Raw genomic sequence first — 23,057 nt, 5'->3', positions numbered from 1 at the left:
TGTCTCAAAAAAAAAAAAAAAAAAAGAAAAAGAAAAAAAGAAAACTGGTCTTTTCCACCCATGTTGGCTCTTAACAGTTTTCTGGCTTCAATACAGGGAGAAGTGCCTGTCACAAGCATTGTGTCAAAATTTGAAAACATAGTCACTGTCTCTTAGACCTTAAGGCCAAAATCCTCTGAAGCATGCCATCTGTGTCTACCACTAACTCAGTATATTTTCCTTAAAGTAAGCTGATTGAATTCAATTTTCTGTGTGACAACTTTATGGGCAAGTTCACACTCTTGGTGGTGAGGATTTGTATGTCATTTAACTCAGCAGATTAATTATGTCCATGTTAATTACGGACAAATATTGACCTGAACCTTCAGACTTGGAAATCAGAAAACAAAATTTGTATGCCCAATAGAATTGGGTAGTTCATGTGATGGTTTTGGGTTACTGGGTTTTAAAATGAGAAAAAGGCAAAATGTGTGCATGCCTTTGGCTTACAAAGATTTTGAATTATCTCAAATTCAAGACTTGTTTATCCCAACTAATGAGAGAGGTACCCAAATATGAGGTAGTCTCATATAATATATGGGCTGAATAATCCTATACTAAGAATGCATAGTTTGTTGTTTTCTAGCCTAAAAGGGAATGTACAGTCACCTTGATTTAGAGCAAAGCCTTTTAGGGAAGTTCACATCCTGAACCATTGTAATGAGTCGCTAGTTTTAAGGGAACCAGATTGCTCCAGTAACTGTTGTTCTATGTTAAGTGAAAAGAGAAGTGCAAGGGTAGCCTGCCTTTGATACAAAAGTCAGCTGGTGGAGGGGAAGAGAATGGAGGATGAGGAGATAGGCTGCTGATATGATTACAAATAACTTCAGCGTCAGTGGTTGTTTTTTAAATACCTTTGGGTAGAACTAGATAAGATTGCTAAGGTAGCAATATCCACGTGTGTCCCATGTAAATTATTTCACATGCCCCATGAAAATAATCTGGCATTATTTTTGCAACAGTAAATTGATTAGAAAATCATTTGCTTCTTGCCTAATAGCTTTGGAAACTATATTTACATGACTGTTTAATTTAGGACTGTGAGGTTTTTTTTCTTTCAATGTTGTTGATTTAATTTCCAGCTTTCCCAGGAAAGCTAACCACTTGGAGATGTGCTAAGAGATTTTCAAAGGAAACTTTCTAATTTTGCATTAATTCTTGAGAAATGTAACTTTATTTGCTTTAAATGCAGTAGAGCTATCATCCTATGAGTATCAGATTTAGGCTTGCTTTGAAGTTTTTATTTCATGATCAGCATTATAAACTCACACTTCTGTCTACCCCGCTCTCATTGCTAAAGTTGCGATAACTTTATTTCCTAATTTTTTTTTTGCATTCTGTGAGAGTGTGTGGGTGTGTGTGTGTGTGTGCGTGTGTACATATTGAATAAAGGTAAATGGTAACTTATGCTCATAACCAAGAAGAATAATTACTAAATTCACAAATTGCAGGGGAGGAATGGGGAGGATGAATATTCTAATTCCATTTTCAAACCAATTATTTTAAGTAAAAGGTTATGCTTTCACCACGGGACATAATAAATGAGAAATATTCATATTTCCATACCAGGGAGGTTACATCAGTCAGCACTTCAAATATTAACAACTTTAATCAAAGCCGAAGGCTTCAACTAAATGACTGGATGTGAGTATTCAAGTGTAGAGTGAACTTTATAAATTATCTGTGGATTTAAGCATTGCATTTATACCTATATACAGTACAGCTGGCTCCCCACAAGCCTTCAGGACAGCTAGATACCACCTCTGAGCTTTAGACTTTTCCAGGCATATATCAGGTAAAGCTTCTGGACTCTACCAACTCCACCCCCTGCATCCAGATTTCAAGCTGTTCCAGGGATTCTCTTGAAGCTTCCCTCAGCCAGCCCAAGTTTTGGGAAAAGCACCCTGACATTTGTCCTCATTTAGGATGGACAGTCTCCCAAATAAATACACACTTAACATTGATTTCTAATCCTTTCATATATGTTCTGGAGGGTGGTGATGGGCTAGATCTGACATTATTATTTCTACTACCTTTCAGCATCTTTTGCATGTCCACACTTATTATACTACTCTCAACTTCGGAGCTTTGACCTAAACTGGGATAGAATTATACTACAAATAAAATGCATTTAATCACTAAAATGTCATTGGAAGTAATATAGCTTTTCTTTTTCATGTAAAGTGAATTTACACTCTTGCAGTACCTCTGGGCCAATATTACAGAACAGGCATTATTAAAGCATTGATATCAGAAATAGTAAAACACACACACAATAAACAAGGCATTTTGGCCTGAAGAGACAGTTTTGAACACTCCGCAACAAATGAACTTCAGAAAAAACTGAAACTCTCTAATTATAGCCATTTATGATCTATCTCTGTGCAGAAAGGAAAATTGTGTTCTAATTACCCAGAAATTGCTACCTTAAAATTTTTATTTTAGTGGACATCTGTTCATTCACCCTTCTCGTGATTAAAATTAAAACATTCCAAATTTCCTCTGAAGAAGCCACCTCCATCTCTTCCCTATTCCATGCCTGAACATATGGCCTGGATCTTCAGAGCCAAGCTCGGCATTCCAGCCTCTGCCTCCACCTCTATGGACTACTAAGTATTCTTCATCAGGACCAGCTACCAGTGCAAAATGAAAATATAGGGCCCCTTGTTCAAAAATTATTAAAAATTTTTAGCCAGTAACATCAAAACATTAAAGCTAGCACAAGGCCCTTCTATCTGCAGGACCTTGTGTAACCATACAGGTCACACACCCTTGAAGCCAACCAAGCTCTTCATTCCTTTATGTAGACCCTTAGTTCCATCTGGTGTCATTTTCCTTCTACCTGAAGGACTGTCTTTGACATTATTCTATAGTGTGAGGCTGCTAGTGATAAATTTTCACAGCTTTTGTATGTCTGAAAAATACTTCATTTTGCCTTCATTCATGAAACATAGTTTTGCTGGGTATAGAATTCTAACGAACAGTACTTTAAAGATATTGCTCCACCAGCCTCTCTTCTGCTTTATTTCTAACAAGAAACCTGCCGCCATTTTGTTGTTCCTCTATACATAATGGGTCAGTTTTTTTCCCCCTGGCTGCACTGAAGGTGTTGTCTTTTTCACTGGTTTACAGCAATTTGATTATTACACACATTGGTATCATTTTTTGCATGTTTTCTATGTGCGAAGTTTTTTGAGCTTCTTAAATATGAGACTTATCATTGTCATCAACTTTGGAAATTTTTTAGTCATTATCTCTTAAATTTTTTTGTTTTTCTGAGACAGAGTCTTATTCTCTCATCCAGGCTGGAGTGCAGTGGCACAATCTCAGCTCACTGCAACCTCCGCCTCCCAGGTTCAAGCGATTCTCCTGCCTCAGCCTCTCAAGTAGCTGGGACTGCAGGCATGCGACACCACATCTGGCTAATTTTTGTATTTTTAGTGGAGATAGGGTTTCACCATGTTGGCCAGGCTGGTCTTGAACTCCTGACCTCAAGTGATCCACCTGCCTTGGCCTCCCAAAGTGCTGGGATTACAGTTGTAAGCCACCATATCTGGCCTCAGAATATTTTCTATTACTCACCTTATTTCTCCTCTCATTTGGAAACCCCAAATACATCAGTATTAGGTCATTTAAAGTTGTACTACAGTTCACCAATGTCCTATTCATTTTTTTTCAGTCTTTTTTCTCTCTGTGACACATTTGGATTGTTTCTATTGCTATGTCTTTAAGTTCACTCATCTTTTCTTCTTAGAATAGCTAATCTGTCACTGTTACTATGCAGTGTATTTTTTATCTCGGACATTATAGTTTTCATCTTCACAAGTTAGACTTGGGTCTTTCTTTTTCTTTTTTTTTTCTTTTTTTTTAAGACAGAGTCTCGCTCTGTTGCCCAGGCTGGAGTGCAGTGGCACAATCTCTGCAATCTCTGCTCACTGCAAGCTCCACCTCCTGGGTTCACACCATTCTTCTGCCTCAGCCTTCCAAGTAGCTGGGACTACAGGTGCCCACCACCTTACTCAGCTAATTTTTTGTATTTTTAGTAGAGACGGGGTTTCAGCGTGTTAGCCAGGATGGTCTCCATCTCCTGACCTTGTGATCCGCCTGCCTCGGCCTCCCAAAGTGCTGGGATTACAGGCATGAGCCACCGCACCCGGCCAGACTTGGGTCTTTCTTATATTTTCTGTCTCTATTAAACATGCTGTTTCCTCCAACTTGTGGAACATATGGAATACAGTTACAGTTACTGGTTTAATATCTTTGTCTTCTAATTGTAACACCTGTGTCAGTTTAGGTTTGGGTTTTATTGATTTTTCTCCTTGCTGTTTTTTTGCATGTCTGGTAATTTTTATTACACGCCAGACATTATGAATTTTACCTTGTTGGATGCTGGATTTTTTTTTTATTCCTACAGATATTTTTGGGTATTGCTCTGGGATACAGGAAAATTCTTTGAATAGTCTTTGATCTTTCAGGTCTTGCTTTTAAGGTTAGGCAAGGCAGAGTATTGTTTAGTCTATTGACAATACTTCCCCACCACGAGGGCAATACCCTTCTGAGTACTTGACCAATGCTCTTTGAATTTCAGGGCTTCCCAATTTGAATAGTTTTCAAATCTCAGTTTTACCAGTCCAGTTTGAACTTTAAAGACTATTCCTACTCATCTTTTCAGCTGGTTTTTCATTTGATTTTATACCATTTCCTCACATGCATGTACTGATCAGAACTCCCTGCTCTCTAATACTCTGCCTGGCAAACTCTAGCCACGCTAGTCTACCTGGATTCTCTGCTTCATCTTTTCTATTTAAGGAGTCTTGCAGACTCCTTCTGAATTCTTCCTTTCTGCTGCATGGCCTAGAAATTCTCTCAGGGGCAATTGCAGGCAAATGCAACTCATTTTGTTTGTTTTCCATCTCTCAGGGATCACTGTCCTTCAATGCCTCATGCCCGTTGCCTTGAAAACCATTGTTTAATATATTCATCTGGACTTTTAGTTGTGTCCATTGGAAAGATAAATCTAGCCCCCGTTATTCCATCTTGGCCAGAAGCAAGAGTTCATGCTACTTATGTTAATCCCTGTAGGTGAGGGCCCCATATCTAAAACAATTGAATTGAAATCTTTCGTGTTGGCACCTGGGTATCAGGAGGTCTTAAAAGCTCCTCAAGTGATTTTCATGTGCAGCCTGTTTTGCAAACTACTGCAACCAGTGGTTAGAGGGAGTCACTAAAGGATTTTAATAAGCGGAATGACCTGATCAGAAGCAGTAGATAGGGACCAGCAGCAGACACACTTAAGAAGGAAGAGCTGGCTGTGAGGGAAGAAGGAGCTGACTCAGCCAGTTCTGCTACACAGCTATTTCTAGCCATGAATGTATTAGGTGGGGCAGCAAAAAAAATTAATTTTTTAAAAAACACATGTGCCTCCATAGAACCTGAGGGTATCTACTGAATTAGAAGTTCATAAATATAGTAAATTTTTGTAATTATAACCCATGTATCAAGAAGAGAGTAGATTACAGTCAGTTTTCAAAGGAGGCAAGGGCAAATATAATACATTTCAGAAATGCTTTTCAACAGTGGCTAAAGCTGCTTCCGTTTGACCCTTAAAAGACTAAGCTTCCATTATTTGAAAATTTTACTTACTGTTTATAAAGCAAAGAGTAGGACATACAGTGTGTGTGTCAGGGTTTCAAATGTGCCCTCTCTTCTTTCATCTTTAGCTTGGAATCAGGTCACTTGACTTTGAATCTTATATCCGCCCCTCGGTATGTTGACCTTAAAAAAAGTCACTTACCCCCTCTGGGACTCAGTTTCTCATTTGTAAATAGAGGATAAAAAATACCTGCCCTGCTGGCTTCATGGGTTTCCTGTGAGACTCAAAATCAAATAAGAGCTTTCTATGATCCATCCCTTTCTCTTCTCCTCCTATTTTATTTGTCTTTTGCCTCTCTATGTTTTTTGTACTTCCCCAGATCCCTCCCCCAGAGTTACGCTGGGAGCTGGTCCCTTGGAGCCTATTTTCACAGCTTAGTTGCCATCTGCTTCTCCCAGCCAGAACTTACCTTGGGTGCATAGATAGCCCTGCTTGATATGCTAACTCTAGTTCCAGGATTTACTGCTCAGATGCTGTCCTCCCTCATTCCCATCTCCAACCCCATTCACCTGCCCTGGACTCTCAGCTTCCCAGTATGCCCAGGAGATAACATTTTCCCCTACCAGCCTTGTCCAAACCCTCATGGCTTACTCCTGCTGAAAGTCTTTCCGCTCCTGGACTTTGTAAATGTGAGAGGGAAAGACTCTCTCAGCTTTGTGTAACAACTGTCAGGGTGAATTAGCTTTTTTTCCCTGTATTTTGCCCACTTACCTTTTTTCCTGTATCTTGCTAATTTGGCATGAAGATTTTTGTTCTTTAAAGTATTTTCTTGAGATATTTAGGGCAGAGCCTGTTGCTAAAAAAAAAAAATTTTAATCCAGCTATATTTCTGTTAAAGTATGGTAAACTGCCTCTGTGCTTCCAAGAGCTTTGAGAGGGGAAATATTCTAGTAGATTATTATATAGTATAGAAAATACAAAAGCAAAAGTACTCCATATTCACAAATACATACACGAAATGCAAATAAACACTGTTCATGCCACTGTAGTGGAGAAATACTTTTGGTCTTAAGAGAAGATCTCAGATAATACTGAAAAGATAAACCTCTGCTCTCTTAAGACAGATGAAAGGAAAGCCAGATAGATTTTTTTTACCTGGAGAAAAACTATTGAGAATTTTGAAAACTAACATACACGGTGCCATGGCAGAGATTGATCATAAAGATTCAAAGTAAATTATAATGGTTAACACTATCACTGAGGTAGGTGTATAAGATTCGTATAAGCCATCATGGTGTATAAGCCATTACAGAAATAATTAGATGCTAGAGAAGAGAAGTAATAATGAGTTAGGTGATTTTATAGCTTGGGATTTATATCTGTTCTAAAGATGTCTTAGGGTGGCTTAGAGTTTTAGTTTACCTATTTTTGTAAAGAAATGTATTATGCTAAATTGGAAATCAGTGGTCTGAAAATCTTTTTGAACTTAAGGAAAGAGCTATTACCTTGAGCCTCAGAAAGCACACAAATTCTTTGCTTACAAGCCTTATGCCTGGCACCCTGCTGCCATCTGGTGGCAGCATACCTGAAGTCCAGGGCAAGTTACTGAACCCTAAAGCAATTTCTTAAATGCAGAAACTAACTGCAAAACAGAAATTATTCACTGCCAGTTTTGTATTAATCCCTGCTTCTGGAATTAATCTATAAATGAGTCAAGAGAGTTTTATTTTTGTAGATATTCAGGCAAACACTACATTCAAATAACATATAACTAAAACTATTTAACAAAATGGGGAAAACCCTCTACTGTGTATTCCACAAATTAGATTAATTTGAATAACAGTGTCCTTTTAAATATGCATATATTCTCTAGGAGAGTATTTTTTACCTTTTTATATGTTTTATGGAATAGCTACCTTAAAACATGACTATGATCTTTTTTAAAAAAATACTGCATAGAGTTGTGGGGATAAAAATATAAGTATTTTAGTCTTTACCCTCAAAAAATTTCCAGATTAATGCGGAAGACAACCATCTACATGAGTGGTATGGAGAGAAATATTAGGGGTAAACCCAGTATGAAAGTGGGTATCTATATCCCAAATGGGAACACAAGGTCTTCTCCTAATTAGGTGGTAGAAGTAGGCAGCAGAACAGGTAGAATGGAGAATCCAAAGAGTAAATGGCAGGCAGCCGTGGCTAAAAGCAGTCTTCCAAGATTTAGAAGACTGGTTGTAGAATCTCTGCTTTTCTAAAAGCACTTTGGTCAAGTCACTTAAACTTCTCTAAGCTTCAATTTCCTTGCCTCTGAAATTTGGATAATAGCATTATATCTGTCTGCTAGATATTGTTGTCAGGATTCAATAAGATAATCTAATAAAGCATTTTATACAATGCTTTGCAAATAGCATTCAATTTTTTGCTTAAAGGAGGGCAAATGGAGGGGCAGCTTCCAAGTTCCTAAGATTTATGGGAAGCATTATCAGTTATCCATTGCCTCAACAATGCTATGGAACAAGCTGTCTGAAAATGAAGTGGCTTAAAGCGATAGACATTTGTTTAGCTGAGCTTACAGTTTGTGGGTCAGCGATTTAGGCTGGGCTTGGCTGCAAATTTCTTCTGATCTCATCTGGCTCCCTCACATCTGGCAGTTGGCTCTAGTCTTCTGGCATATGAGAGTTGACTGACCTGGGGTGGTCTCAGCTGAAACAGCTGGGACTCCCTGTGCCCCACTCTCTAGTATGCTATCGCAGACATGTCTTCATAACAAAGAAAGAAACAAACAAACAAAAATGAGCAAGCGCTTTTTTACACCTCTACTTACATCACATCTGCCAACACTTGGCCAAAGGAAGCTATATGGAAAACTCAAAATCAGCTTGGGAGGGGAGGATATAGTTCACCTCTCAATAGGAGCAACTGCAAAATCACACGGTAAATAGCTTGAGAGTAGGGAAGGGTGAAGAAATGGGACCATTACTGCAATCAGTGCACCCCAGAGATTTTGGGGGGGTTGTTTTATTTTGGTGTTTTATGGGTTTTTTTGTTTTATTTTGTTTTGTTTTGTTTTGTTGTTGTTGTTTCGAGACAGGGTCTCACTTGTCACCCAGGCTAGAGTGCAGTGGTGCAATCAAGTTTCACTGCATCCTCAACCTTCCAGGCTCAGGCAGTGCTCCCTTCTCAGCCTCCCAAGTAGCTGGGACTAGGCGCACACCACCACACCTGACTAATTTATTTTTATTATTTGTAGAGACGGTGTTTCCTTATGTTACCTAGGCTTGTTGTGAACTCCTGGGCTCAAGTGATCCTCCTATGTAGGCATCCCAAAGTGCTGGGATTACAGGCATGAGTCAATGTGCCTGGCCCACAAAGGTTTTAATTAGAGAAAAGAAGAGAGATTTTAGAATTATGGATGATCTTATTATTGTTTGTAAGCCCCCACTCAAAATATGTGAAATCAAAACCATCTCAGAAAATCTAAGATGATCAATGGGGGCTCACCGGGGGGAAAAAAATGACCTGGATAGGGTACCATGCAAGGAGGCCTAAATGTATGGAAAACTGGGGGACAGGAACCCCAACCAATATTCAGTAATTGGAGAATGATAGATGATAAACACACTGTGTGATCATGGAATTGCTAGATATATAAAAAGCTGGAAAATTGTTTATTGAACTCATTGACCATCAAACTCAGCTATTTTAGAAAATTAAATTGCAAAGTATCTGTCTAATGAAAAATCATTTTCGTGCCTTGCTCAAATATTTGTTGCACATCCACTCTTCGCTCAGAGTGGGTGTGCAACCAATATTTTTTCATTGAATTTGATTCCTTAGGTTACTTGACTCCTCTAGATGAGCACAGGGAATAATAGTAGTAACAATAATGGGAATTTGTTTTAGTAACTCTTCCTTTATCTTCCCCTTCGTTAATTGTCAATCTTGCTCAAGAATTTTTTCTCAAACCTCCTTTCCCCAGTGTTATGTTCTTGGACAGGTTTCAGCTAGCAGACTCAAAGTAGATGGCTGCCAAGTACAGGTCTTTATCCCTGAGGTCCAGGCTCTCAACTCACAACGTCATCTCAAGTGTATTATTCGCATTCTCTTGCTCAGTGAACAAGAGGTGCTATGGAGTCATGGAGGAGACTGGGGACTCGGAGCTAGACTGCGGGGATTTGGATCCTGGCTATGCCTTTGCTATCATGATTATTAACCACAATCAGCCCCATCAGGGCATAGATTATTTTGTTGACTCCTGTATCCCCAGCTCCTAGAACAGTTTCTAGCACACCGGAGGTGGCAAATAAATACCTGTTGATTGACCTAAAGACACTTTTGTGTGAGAGTGTTCTAAGTCTGACATATATGTCATATATACATCATATATCCTGATATATTTCCCCTCACCTGAACCCTATGAGATGCACACTGTTGCCATTCCCATTTTACAGGTTAAGAAGTGTCTGAAGAGAACTGGTTGGATTTTGATGAGAAAAGCCACCAGTTCCTGTTATTTTATATTCACAGATGTATTGTGTCATGAAAGGCGGTACACTAGGCTGGTCTTGCAACAGAGATACGTTTAACAACAGAATGAACATCCGCAGTCTTTCCCTCATGTTCTCAGCCTTGCAGAGAAAGTTTCCAACAGTGTCTGTCAGGATGGCTGACTTAGGAAGTTCCATTTCTTCTTCGTGGCAGCCACTGGAGGGCACATGGTGCACAAGACGAACAGGGGTGCAACTTATGAGGCGTGCTGGTATAAATGACCCTGTAGTACCACTATACACACACACACACACACACACGCACACGCACATAGAGAGAGAGAAAGAGTGAGAGAGAACAGAGAGGGTGCCTGTTTCACCACCTCCCAAATGCCAAAAATGGAATATTGCCTTCCCTTTAGAAATTGTACTAAGGAAGGAGAAAGACCCATGGCCAGACCTACTTCATTATGGAAGCCCAAGAGGCAGGGTAAGGTAGAAAGACTTACAGTAAATAAGCAGACCCCAGGTGGCATCCTTTTTCCCGCAGTCCCCCCAAAAATAGAGAAACAGATACTCCCACACATGTATCTCCTTGTGACTGGCTGCAGCAGAGACAAACTACAATACAAACGCCACCTGAGAGAACTAAATCTATGAGTCATTCTCACTTACTGTGAACTAGTCTGATCTGATCATCAGCTGATGTATAACTTCACCTAGAAGGGCAGGATTTGGTGCTTTGAATATAGAGAAGGGGAAAAGGAGGATTTAGAACAAAGATTAAAACTGCAGAGGACGAGTTAGTGGGTGCAGCGCACCAGCATGGCACATGTATACATATGTAACTAACCTGCGCATTGTGCACATATACCCTAAAACTTAAAGTATAATAATAAATAAATAAACAAACAAACAAACAAACAAACTGCAGAGGAGCGCCAGAGGGAAGGCAGGCTTGGGTGGGCTGCAAGGCAGCAGAGTGGATGAGAGGCTGGACTCAGAGTCAGATGAGCCAATTTCAGTTTCTAGTTCCTTATTCCACTGGGGCAAGACACTTCACCTTTTACCAGCCCTTGTATTTGTGTGGGTTCATCGCGCCTCTCCACCAGACACCAAACTCCTTGAAGACCTGACTTCGGAGGGCTCAGCTGTATGTTCACACAATGCCCTTTACAAAGCAGGTGCTTAAAAATACCCACTGAATGAATTGCTGCCAGGGGAGGAATGGGAAAGAAAGACACAGAGGAAGACGTGGGAGGCAAAGTCATCAGAGACAGACTTCAGCGACCTACTTGACTGTGGAGGGCCACTTGGGTGATGCACACACCATCTCATTGCCATCCCTGGGTGCTGCCATCAGTTGGCATGTCCGGTAAAATGCTTCAGTTGAAAGGTAGTCCACACTCTATATATCTTTGTGAGGGCCCAGTATGCCTAGAAAGTGTCCAACTGGGAAGACGACATATGAAGAAGTATATGTAGTATTTATATTGAATGAAAATATTTACTGAACACCTACTATATGCCAAGCACTGTTCTAGTCTCTAGAAATGCATTGGAAACAAAACCAACAGAGCTCCTGCTCTTATGGAACTTACATTCTAGAGCTGGACAAAGACAATAAGCAGGTAACAGATAAGTCTGTAATATGATATCAGCTAGTGGCACATACTATAAGGAAACATAGAGCAGGGTAAGAGGATAGACAGTGACCAGATCTTCAGGAGGGTGATCAGGAAAGACTTCTTTAAGGAGGTTTCATTTAGGCAGAGATCTGAACCAAGTGTGGGAAGAAGCCATGCAGAGATCAGCACTCCAGGCTGAGGGAGCGGCAAGTGCAGATCCCCTGCGGCAGGACCGTGCCTGTTTGAGGACCAGCAAGGAAGCCAGTGTGGCTGTAGTAGCATGAGCCAGGGAAAAGGCTGATAGAAAAGATGTCACAGTGGTGGCCCAGGATCAGGTATTGTGAGCTGTGGAGAGGGGTTGCATAGTAATCTAAATGTGAGCATGAGCATCAGAGGGGTGTTAAACAGGAGAGAGATATGGTTTGGTTTATGCTTGAAAGGCTCACTTTGGCTGCTGTGGGAATGGGGATGGAGGTCATTGAAAACCTACTGAGGCATTCACCTAGTAGTCGGGGCAAGAGATGGTGGTGCCTTGTACTAAAGTGGTGTGGTGAAGAAGGTGAGAATATCTGAGTCAGGATTTACAAGGAAAATAGAGATGATGAATGTGATATTGATTGTAGATAAATCAAAGGAATTAAGGATCGGTGGAAATGTTTTTGGCCTGAGGTTTCTTGAGATTGGGAATATTTGTTAGGGAAAATTTGGAGGGAGAAATCAAGAGTTCCATTTGGACATGGTAAATTGAACTACCTAGCACACATTTCTAGAAATCTCCAGAAGCAATGATACATAGAAGCATTTCAGCTCTTCTCTGCATTTAAAACAAATGATTCTACTGATAATCATTATGATCCATGGCTGAGAAAAACCAATGTGTGGCCAAAAAACGTTTCTGCGCTCTGTACCCCATGTAAAGGCTATCCTTTCATGCAGAAGCTTTTTCACTTTACAACCTGCTATTACATCAAGCAGCCGGCCTGGAGTTTGGGGAATAGAGGTGTGCCCTTTCTCTACCACCACACACCAGGCAACGTGTCCTCAGCTATTGACCTGCTATTTGTCACGGCACTTGACTACATCCTTAAGACAGCATCCTTGTGTAGATATAGGAGAAAAATGATGGTACAGGCTTCACACATAATGATTGACAACTTGCCCACAGCAGGAATGTAAATTATTTCATTCATTTCCAACTGGCTCCCCTGGCAAACAGCTTTTTCACACTGACCTGATAGTACCTTAAAGGAAAAAAGCCTCAGGGTCTTTAGTCCTGATGTTCAAAATCAGACGCTAAAACACAGTGACTTCCTTAAACTGAATTTGAAATAATCGCCTAAGCAGTTAGCTTATTTTTCATTAAGGCCATGTATTCTACAATCATCTGCCTGTGTGCCATAGATGCTTTTGATAAAATTCAGTTCACCAACCAAGAGTATCAAGTTTCTGTAAGAATTTTTTTTTTTTTTGAGACAGAGCTCTGTCGCCCCAGCTGGTGTGCAGCAGCGCTATCTCGGCTCACTGCAACCTCTGCCTCCCAGGTTCAAGCCTCAGCCTCCCGAGTAGCTAGGATTACAGGGACCCGCCACCACACCCAGCTAGTTTTCTGTATTTTTAGTCAAGATGGGGTTTCACTATTTTGGCCAGGCTGGTCTCGAACTCCTGACCTCGTGATCTGCCCACCACGGCCTCCCAAAGTGCTGGGATTACAGACGTGAGCCACAGCGCCTGGCCATGTTGCCATAAGAATGTTTAGTTTGGTTTACCTTGGCTTGAGACACAATGCTGACTATAAGTTTTCAAGTGGACAGCTCTTTGGTAATATGTAAATAAACTGCAGAGACATTTTGAACGTGATGGGATAAGTGAGGTCTAGTATTTGCATAGCCCTAGTCTAACGACAAAAACATCTACTTTGTTCCACTCTATTTCATGGAACCTAGAAATACCATCTATTATAAGATGCATCATTATGTTATGCATTCCTACAAAAGAAAAACAAGTGCTGCCAATTAATCTGTGACACAGAGCCTTATGGTGATTCTGTCCAACACATAAACCCATCACAGCCTCACACAGATTGAACATTTCCTTCATATAGAGGGCTTTGTCAATTACTCCTGCCTTTGTTGAGTTCCTTGGCATGTAACATGTAATCTTTTTCATATATTGCAGTAACAAAGCATAATAAGGCCTCATGCATTTGTGGATATCTTCCTTCCTTCAGACCCACAATGCACATGGTTACTGCTTTTAAAGGAAATATGTCATTGCAGTCTCTTCTCCAGTGAAGTTATTTGCTTCACAAATATCAAATTATCCTCTCCCTACTGTATTTGTATCTTTCCAAGTACTGATGCCAAATTATAATGTAATCATTTTGAACACAGTTTAAATGCCAATTATACTCAACACATGAACAGCTATGACCAAGCATGTGGGTATGGGCTATGACAACCATGTGATGGCAATTGTGAGGCACTGTGGATTGTAAGATGCATTATCATTTCACAGATGGTAAATGAGGAAAAGTGTGTGTTCTAGAATCAGTGAAATAACTGTGTAAGGAAGGTATTGTGGGAGTCCACAAATGAATAAAACAGTTTGGGTCTTGAGTTAATATTTTCCTTTTGCTTAAGAAAAAAAAAAACCTCCCATTCTTTTTTATTTCCATATATATAAGATGATACTGTGTTCATATACCAAGAGTGGCCTCAGATTCTGTCAGGATATGGCAATATAAATGAAGTCACTTCAGGAATCTAACTTTTTCAGTCATGGTAGTTGTCAGGCATTGACACCACTGACTTCTTATGCTGCTGCAGTCGCTCATGTATCTCCTGCCTCAAAATCACTGTGCACACAGAGAAACTATCAAAATCACCCCCAGGGAATGCAGAGAGGTGCAGGCCCTGTGTGATTGGAATACTCAAAGCAAAGCCAACTCGGCAGTCATTGCAGCTGGGAGGATGGGAGAGCTGCTGTCAGAGCCAACAGGCTGTCTGCATCAGGATGTGCCCTGAGCAGCTCACCCAGTGGAACCTCAGTCGCTTTCAGACCAAACCACAAAGACCTGAAGCCTCACCCTTCCCGAAGCCCAGCCATGGCCACGTGCTTATCATTAACCCCTGCTGCCTTTTCCACTTTTTCCAGACATGCCCTTACTCTGATTCTAGCCTGGATATCATCTGATTCTTTGCAAACTCCAAGTATATTCCTGCCTCAGGGCCATTACAGTTGCTCTTCCCTCTGCCTGGACCGCTTTACATGCATCTCCGTCCTTCTCCTTTGTTGGGGCCAAGAAGAAAGTTGCCCTTGGCCCTCTAAAGGTTTGCTGAAAAATCAATTCACATTCAAGCAGATTACTAAGAGAAAAGGCATACAAATTTATTTAGCATGTAAACATGGGAGCCTTCAGGATGAAGACCCAAAAATACTGGGGAGATTGTCCATTTTTACACTTCGTTTCAACAAAGTATGGACAGCTGTGCCGAAATATTATTGGACCAAAAAAAGGGTCTGATCTAATGCTAATAGACTGAGTGAAGAAAGCCAGGAAGGCCTGTCTGTCTAGATTCTTCTTGGCCCCCCTGAGCATGCATTCCTTCCTTCTCTGTGTTGGGCAAGACCCTCTCTGGAATGGGGGTATTACGACCTACAGTCAAACAAGGTAAGTCAGATAATTTCTCTGTGGCCAGTTTTCACATAGAAAGGTGGAGGGAAAGTTAGAGTAATATTTTTAGATTTTATGGCTGGCTTTGGGGAAGAAGGGGTCTGGTTTCTATGACCCACCCTGGGGAAGAGGGATCCTAGTTTCTATAGCTAGCCTCAGGAGAGAATGGGACTGAGAAACAGGAGGGCAGGAGAAGGTCAGAGAAAAACTTTTGCTTCTGAGGCTGCTTCTGAGGCCTTCATTTTGGGGTGTTGTTTTCTAAGCCCCAACACCTTCCACATCATCTCAGCTCACATCATGTCACCTCCTTGGGTCAAGGCCTTCCTCATCGCCCAAACTGAGGTGGTATCTCCTGACCATCTATTTCTATCATGTTACTCTGAATATATGTGCATTTGTTATCTGTTTGTTTTTATAACCCTAAATCTCCTCCAGTGTCCTTCACCCTGGAGAACACGTGCTCACCTCTGCACTGTCAACACCTGAAACACATAGAAGATGTTCAAAAAGTATTTGATTAACATATGAATGAATGCACTCAGCTTGATTCCTAGCTCATCAGTAGTTTTTAAATACTTGGCTTAATATCATGTTCTCCTCCAGCTCCTCTCCATCTTCCTATCTTTCATCAACAAGACTTCACATGTATAAGACTCCATGACTCCTCGGATTAAATTGCTTGTCAGGTGCAGTGGCTCATGCCTGTAATCCCAGCACTTTGGGAGGCCAAGGCAGGTGGATTGCTTGAGTCCATGAGTTTGAGACCAGCCTGGGCAACATGGCGAAACCCCGTCTCTACAAAAAATGCAAAAACTAGCTGAGCATGGTTGCACACGCCTATGGTCCCAGCTACTCAGGAGGCTGAGGTGGAAGGATTGCTTAAGCCCAGGAGATCAGGCTGCAAATGAGCAGTGATTGTGCCATTGCACTCCAGCCTGGGTGACAGACCAAGACCATGTCAAAAAAAAAAATAAAATAATTAAGGTGCTCAGTTCTCTTTTCCTGAAAGCTTATTACAACTATAGCCTCCAAGCTCTACTCTGCTCTCTGCCCTGCCGCTCTCTTGCATGCAGGGCCTTCCTGACAAACATGGTTCTTCTCCACTCCTATTGCTGCTTTGTACGACTACAGAGCTCTGGGTGGCTTATTTGTGACAGGGGTGTCTATGAATGTCTGAATGAGCAGTCACACAGCAGTCTGGGGTGAGCTCTAACAAGCGCTGCTAATTGGCTGCCAGATCCTCTCCTCAGCCCCAGTGTCATTCCCTTTCGCACCTGCCAATGTTGGCTCAACACCCAAGGGTCTTCCCAAATAGCTGGAAGCTAGAGGAATTTCTAGTCCTCAGCACTTCTCCAGGGCACAGGCAACTTTACTGCTCAAGCTTTTTCTACTAATAGGGATCACTACCAGTCGTGAGTTTTTACAAGCATATATTGGTTTCTACTCTGCGGAAGGGGGATCTAAAATAATTAAAAGGCTCCTGACCTTGTAAAGGGTGTAATCTGAAGATAGTCAACCATAGGAGTCTTATTTTGCTCTGATTATTACCAGCAATGTGTGTGTGTGTTCACACACGCACCTGAGTGCAGAGGAGTTAAAGCAATAATGATACAAGTTACTTTTTTTTTTTTTGAGATGGAGTCTCACTCTGTCACCCAGGCTGGAGTGCAGTGGTGCGATCTTGGCTCACTGCAACCTCTGCCTCCTGGGTTCAAGTGATTCTCCTGCCTCAGCCTCCTGAGTAGCTGGGATTACAGGCATGCTTCACCATGCCTGGCTAATTTTTTGTGATACAAGTTACTTCTATAAATTGATTTGAATTTTTAAGAGTGACCAGCAGAGAAGGTCTCTATAAGCATTTGGCTCTACCACCCTGGAGTATAAATGGCACATTACACAAAATATTATACACCATGACTACTAAATTATAAACCTGCATTTCTTATATGTCCTTATATGTACTGCAACTACTTACACACTTAAAAGTGCATAATGATTACTTGATTGAATAAATAAATGGTGTTGAATAAGGCAACTGCTAATAAGAGTCAAGGTCAGTTTTTAATCCTCACTATACATAAGAATAACTTAGGAGACTTTTATGCACAAGCTCATCCCCACATATTTGCATTCATTGGTTGAAATGGGTCCTGGGCATGCATTTTTAAAGGTTCACCAGGTGACTATAATGTGTAACAGGGTTAAAAACCATTGACCTGGGTAGAAAGTAATTCATGCCTTAAAACTAATAATCCAGCCTATGTCAAAGATTATGGTGAATAATTTGCAAGAAATGTTTTGCCTGAGTTATACTAAGCCTAGTAAATACTCTTTAATATCACTACCATGATATACTTACTGATCTGAAGTCACCTATTTTTTACTTTAACATGAGAAATAAAGACTAAAATGTAATCAGAGAAATAATTCTTTACTTTAAAATGTGAAATAAAACACGTGTTTCCTGAAACAACCTTAAATTCTGATGCAACACAAAACTTAAATTGCCATAAATGTTTCCTCACACAGCTTAAAAAAATCAAAGTTCATGAGACCCAACAAAAATAAATAAGGAAAGTGGAATAAATTTTCTAGAGTTGTAGTAGATTGAATGGTGGCATTCCAAAAGATATGTCCACGTAGAACCTGTGAATGTGACCTTATTTGGAAAAGGAGTGTTTATAAATCTAATTCATTTAGGATCCAAGATCAGATCATCTTGGATTAACAGGATAGGCCCTAAGTCAAACAAGTGTTTTTATAAGAAAAGAAGACAGACAAAAGAGAAGAGGAAGCAGAGAAGGCCATGTAAAGACAAGACGAAGATTGGCGTGATGCTGCCACAAGCCAAGGAACACCTGGAGCCACCAGAAGCTCAAAGAAGCAAGGAAGGATTCTCCCCTTGAGCCTTCAGAGGGAGAATGCCCTGCTGACACACTGATTTCAGAATTCTGGCCCCCAGAACTATAAGAGAATAAATTTCTGTTTCAAGCCACCCAGTTTATGGTAATTTATACAACAACCTTAGGAAACTAGTACAATAATATTCTTGTAACAGAAGCTGTGATATCAGCTTTAAATGTTATAACCTAGTATTTGTTAAAGGAACCTCAAGTTGCAATAGACTATGTGATAAATGGAGGCCATCCTCAGTCAACTGTAAGTCATGACCCCCATGAGGGTTTGGGCACGATGGCTTCCCTCCACCTCTTTGCTATGTTGAGTTAGAAATTAAGGCTTTAGGAAATCAGATCCAGCCACAGAAGAAGGGCCTGCCTGACAGTAGGCATAAAGAGAACTATTTAGGATTGAATTTGTTAAAGATTAGCTACATTTCATTTTTTAATTGAGGCCAAAGTAACCAATTTCTGTTTCATCATTAGGGCAATGTTTTTATTTGGGGTTTGAATCAGTTAGGAATGCTTTTAGCTTCAAGTGACCAAAACCTGACCACCAGGGATTGAAATCATAAGGACATGAATTGTGTTGGTTGGCAAGAGGCATGGAAATGGGCACTTGTTAGCTGTGCCATTTAGGACCAGAGCCTTTCTGTCTTTTTGCTGTGCTCTCCTTAGCATGATGGCACTTTGTCCTCATGCTTTTGTGTTTTTTGCCTCATGACTGCAGAGTGGCTATGGCAGCTTCTGTCATCACATCTGCATTCCCAGATGGAGGAAGGGGAAAGGGAGCAATGATAGAGATGTGTGTTCCTTTTATCAGGATATCAAAAGTTCTTCCAGTATCTTTCCAGCAGACTCAGGTTTACACCTCATTGGCCAGACCATGTCACACAGCCACCGTCCAACTTGCAGGAGACTGGGAAAGTGTGTCTTAGCTTTTTCCAGGCTCTGCAGGAGAAAACAAGCAAGAGAGAGGAAATTGGAATGGATTTTACTGGCCAACTGGTAACATCTGTCACAGAGCTATAGAAACCACTCAGAACAGTGAGTCCTCAGGAAAGGTCTTTAATACTATTTATCAATAATATGCAATTAAATGACAAATCCACAAACCTGGAATTCCTGGCATATGATTTAGAACTAAGGAGAAAGAACTAATTTCTTTAATCAATTTGACTTGGAATATGTCTAGAAGGTGTAAGATGATTTCCAAACTTTCCTTATAACCCCATCAAGTGTATAATTATTCAAATCGTGTATCCATGTAGAGATTATTAGGCATTTTACGTTAGTAGCACCAGAAGAAAGTAAAATTTTGAAATTCCTTTTAAAGGGTCAAAACAGAAATGGAAAATAAAGAAGGAATAGTTCAAGTTGTGACCAATTTTGTTCCATCTTTGTTTGACTGAGTCTGTGCTCTTCTTGGCCCTTCTTGCAGAGACAGATGGGTGAGCTAGGGTAGACGGATTCAGAAAGAGAGAAGTCAGAAGTTAGAGACATGTTCATCTTGATTGCACTGTGGTCTCAAAATGACCCTTCTTTGCATATGTATAATTTTAAATCAATGGGAGTGGTAGGGTCTGATCAATTCAGTTCGATAATCATTTACATCTACTTACTGTATGCCAAGCACTATGCTAGATGATGGAGAGACAACTGGTGAGTAAGAATTTCCTTTGAAGAGTTCGCATTCTAATTGAAAGCAAGTTAACAGTTATAGTACAGTTCAATAAGAACCACATTCAGGGTATACATAGGGTCACATACAACAAGGACCTTAAAGTGAGCCTAGAGGAGGAGAAAGAGATCAGGAGTATCTTACTGGAGGAGGTATATGGTACAGGAGGAGGTACCGTACTGCATGTGCTTAGTTGGGAGAAAAAACTACAGCTGGATTTGATGCTAAGATAGGAATTTAACTTCTTTTTCATTAGACGGGGGTGGGGGTTGGGGGGAAGCTGGAAGAAGGCAATGGGGTAGATAGAGGATAAAGGGAAGGCAGTGGGCTGTTGACTCCCATGTGTAACTACAAAGATCCAGAAAAGGAGCTTAGAACCAGGGTATGTAGAAGCACCAGTCGCCCCCACCATCACCATGGTCATAACAGCATGTGGCACCTATTTCCCCCTACAATACAAGGCTGAAGCAGCCTCTGCCAGCCCCTGCACTTGCTGGGGAGCAAAGGAAGCTGCCTGCACAGGGACTGCAGCCATGCAGTTGATGTGGTGGTGCTCTTTGACGTGTGCCCAGGCAGACTGCCAGTCACTCAACCTTGAAAATCAGAAGAAAGCCAGTCATTGCAAGACCCAGTTTTTGAGCCAGAGGGAAGCCAGTGTCAGGACTGGGAACACATTATGGTTTCGTGACTGTTCCCAAGGCAGGTGACCAGGATAAATTCCCTCTACTTTCCTGAAGCATTTTAATAGTGCTTTAGAGTTGACAAAGCTTTCACACATCTCAGATCACTGTTTGCTTATAGTCTGGTAAGGCAGGTGTTACCATTCCCATTTTACAGCAGAGGAAGGGGAGGAGCAGGAACTCACACACATTCCCACATTGAGAACATGGTGGAGCCAGGGCTCAAGCCCAGGTCTATTCACATCCAAATCTCTTTCCATAGAGACCCCAGCATGCCTTCAGTCAATCTTCTTTACGTCACGTGTAAAGCTGCCTTCTTCCAGAACTTCTGTTAAACATTAAGTACATTTCATGCTGCTGAGTTTCCTGCCAAACATTGTTAAGAATATGCTTCTTATGCATTGTTAGTTTCCTGTGGAAGAGGCTTCCTCCAGTCTATGTTTTATTGATCAACCTGCTCTCACTTTCCTCACCGCTTACCCTGACAAGTACTTCACTGTAGATTGTGCTGTTGAAGGAGTACATGGGGAGAAAGATAACAGTGCTCTAAAGCGTGAGCAATTCACCCTTCATACAGGTAACCTCAGGTAAACCTCCATCCTGCAGCAGCCCAGACAACTTCTCCAGTACGAACAAAGTTGAGTCCTTTATTTAATATACAGCATGTGGCTCAGGGTGGGAAAAAAATGGAAAGAAGAGGTGGTTTCATTAGATATTTACCATGTCAAGGATGGATCTCTGTTTTGTAAAATCTGTACCTTGCTGGGGAAATGGGGATTTTCTTTTCCAATTCAGATAATCCCAACTCGAAAGAGAAGCAGCTGGAATCAGTATACAGCATCCTACTCTCATGTCATTTTTAGTATCATTACCTATCGTTGGTTAAGCCAGCAAAATCTTTTATTTCTTTTTTATTAAAAAATAATTATGCATCTTTGCAAGTAGGCTTGATTCACTTAGCACAGATAGTAACTACAGCTCTCAGTTTAGATTTTTCTCTGGTTTCTTTATATTGTTTTGTGTCTGCTGCATGAAAACTTTTTATTAATGAACTTGGTTGCAGTTAAGGGCAGCCATGGTCCCTTTTAAAGATAAAATACTATTTAGTATTCATTAAAGGAGTTATAAAAATCCCCTGGCTGTACCTGTTCTAATTATTCCTTCTTCTAAAAACCATTGAAGTTCATATTAAACAAGTATGTAACATATAAAAGCAGCTGTCCTGACCATGAAAAAGGAGCCAGTTCGTCATTTCTGAGCTGCCTTAGGTAATGAGCAATTAGAGAATGTAGGTAAAAATCGGTGCAATACTTAAATCTCATTATTCTTTTGTACAGCTATGGTTATTGTCTTCTTCATCCAAGGATTGATTGAAGTAAAATAACCTTCATAGGTGACCATATCCTGAAATTCAGGAAGGGAATAATTAAGCAGTAAAAGGCTTATAATTTCCAATCTTGTGACTAAATTTTCTCTCTAACCTGTGGTCTCATCACCTCTCTGCCATCTGGATCCATAAACAGATCAAAGCCCAGAAGATGTCTCAGGACTTTTATAACAGAAGCTAAGTGGGAATAAATGTATAATGTATACATACATTTAAAAACACACTGTCCTTTGACGCTATAGCTGTTGTTACAATGTCTCCCCATACTTTTACTCCCTAAAGCAACATCTTAGTCTTCCCATTGAGCAAAAACAATGCTTGAATTATCAGCTACCCATGATCTTTGTCATTTCAAACAATAGAAAATAAAATTCAGAGTTGAGAGAGTTTGGCTTGCACAATTGCAGGAGGAATAGAAAAGTATGAGGATATAATTAACAATAACCAATGTTCATATACATTTTGTTGTGTGCAAATCATTCTTCTGATTGCTTTCCATGTATTAATTTTTTAAAAAATATTTAATTCACTCATATAAGAATAATGATAACAAATGACATTGGACACAGCTCTGAATTGTAAATAACTTTTTGTATAAACATCTAGTCTAGATTTTTCTTGTTTATTGCTTCTGAGAAAAAGGTTAACAACTTGTTCCTTGATTATTCTGCAAAAATATTTGTGAAAGTTCATAGATCTTTTGATATATGCATTCTCTAGAGTAGCTATGGCAATAATCATAACAAATGACATTTTTAAAGTACCTTGGAGTTTATACAGTAAAGTATATCTCCCATATAATAATGTTCTTTTCTAACAATACATTTTCAGGATGGCAGGATGAGTATTAATTTTCTGCTTTGCATATGGGGAAACTGCAGTTCAGAGAAGTTAATAAATTGCCCAACGTCAATGCAAGACATGCAGGCACAAGCCTGTCTGATGGCATGTCTCTGTGCCCTTTGCACTGGGCCACAGACTCAGTCTGGCAC

At 40.4% G+C, this 23,057-nt stretch overlaps 1 protein-coding gene across 51 annotated transcripts in view, besides 1 other annotated feature; it reads left to right on the top strand.

The window, feature by feature from the left end:
* ANKS1B (ankyrin repeat and sterile alpha motif domain containing 1B) overlaps window positions 1–23,057 on the top strand; it is a 1,250,151-nt gene that overhangs the window by 934,221 nt on the left and 292,873 nt on the right. The gene's annotated exons all lie outside the window — the stretch shown is intronic.
* Window positions 3,015–3,184: an enhancer, noted in NCBI's record as "experimental_31475 CRE fragment used in MPRA reporter constructs". NCBI's record gives its function as "activates a minimal promoter by MPRAs in K562 erythroleukemia cells, with activity observed for both the introgressed and non-introgressed 12:99441395 variant alleles {active_cell/tissue: K562}" and the evidence as "EXISTENCE:reporter gene assay evidence [ECO:0000049][PMID:34662402]".

This window comes from Homo sapiens, chromosome 12, assembly GCF_000001405.40.
Source record: "Homo sapiens chromosome 12, GRCh38.p14 Primary Assembly".
NCBI lineage: Eukaryota > Metazoa > Chordata > Mammalia > Primates > Hominidae > Homo > Homo sapiens.
Note: the sequence above shows the minus strand (reverse complement) of the source record. Positions and strands in the feature narration are given on the sequence as shown.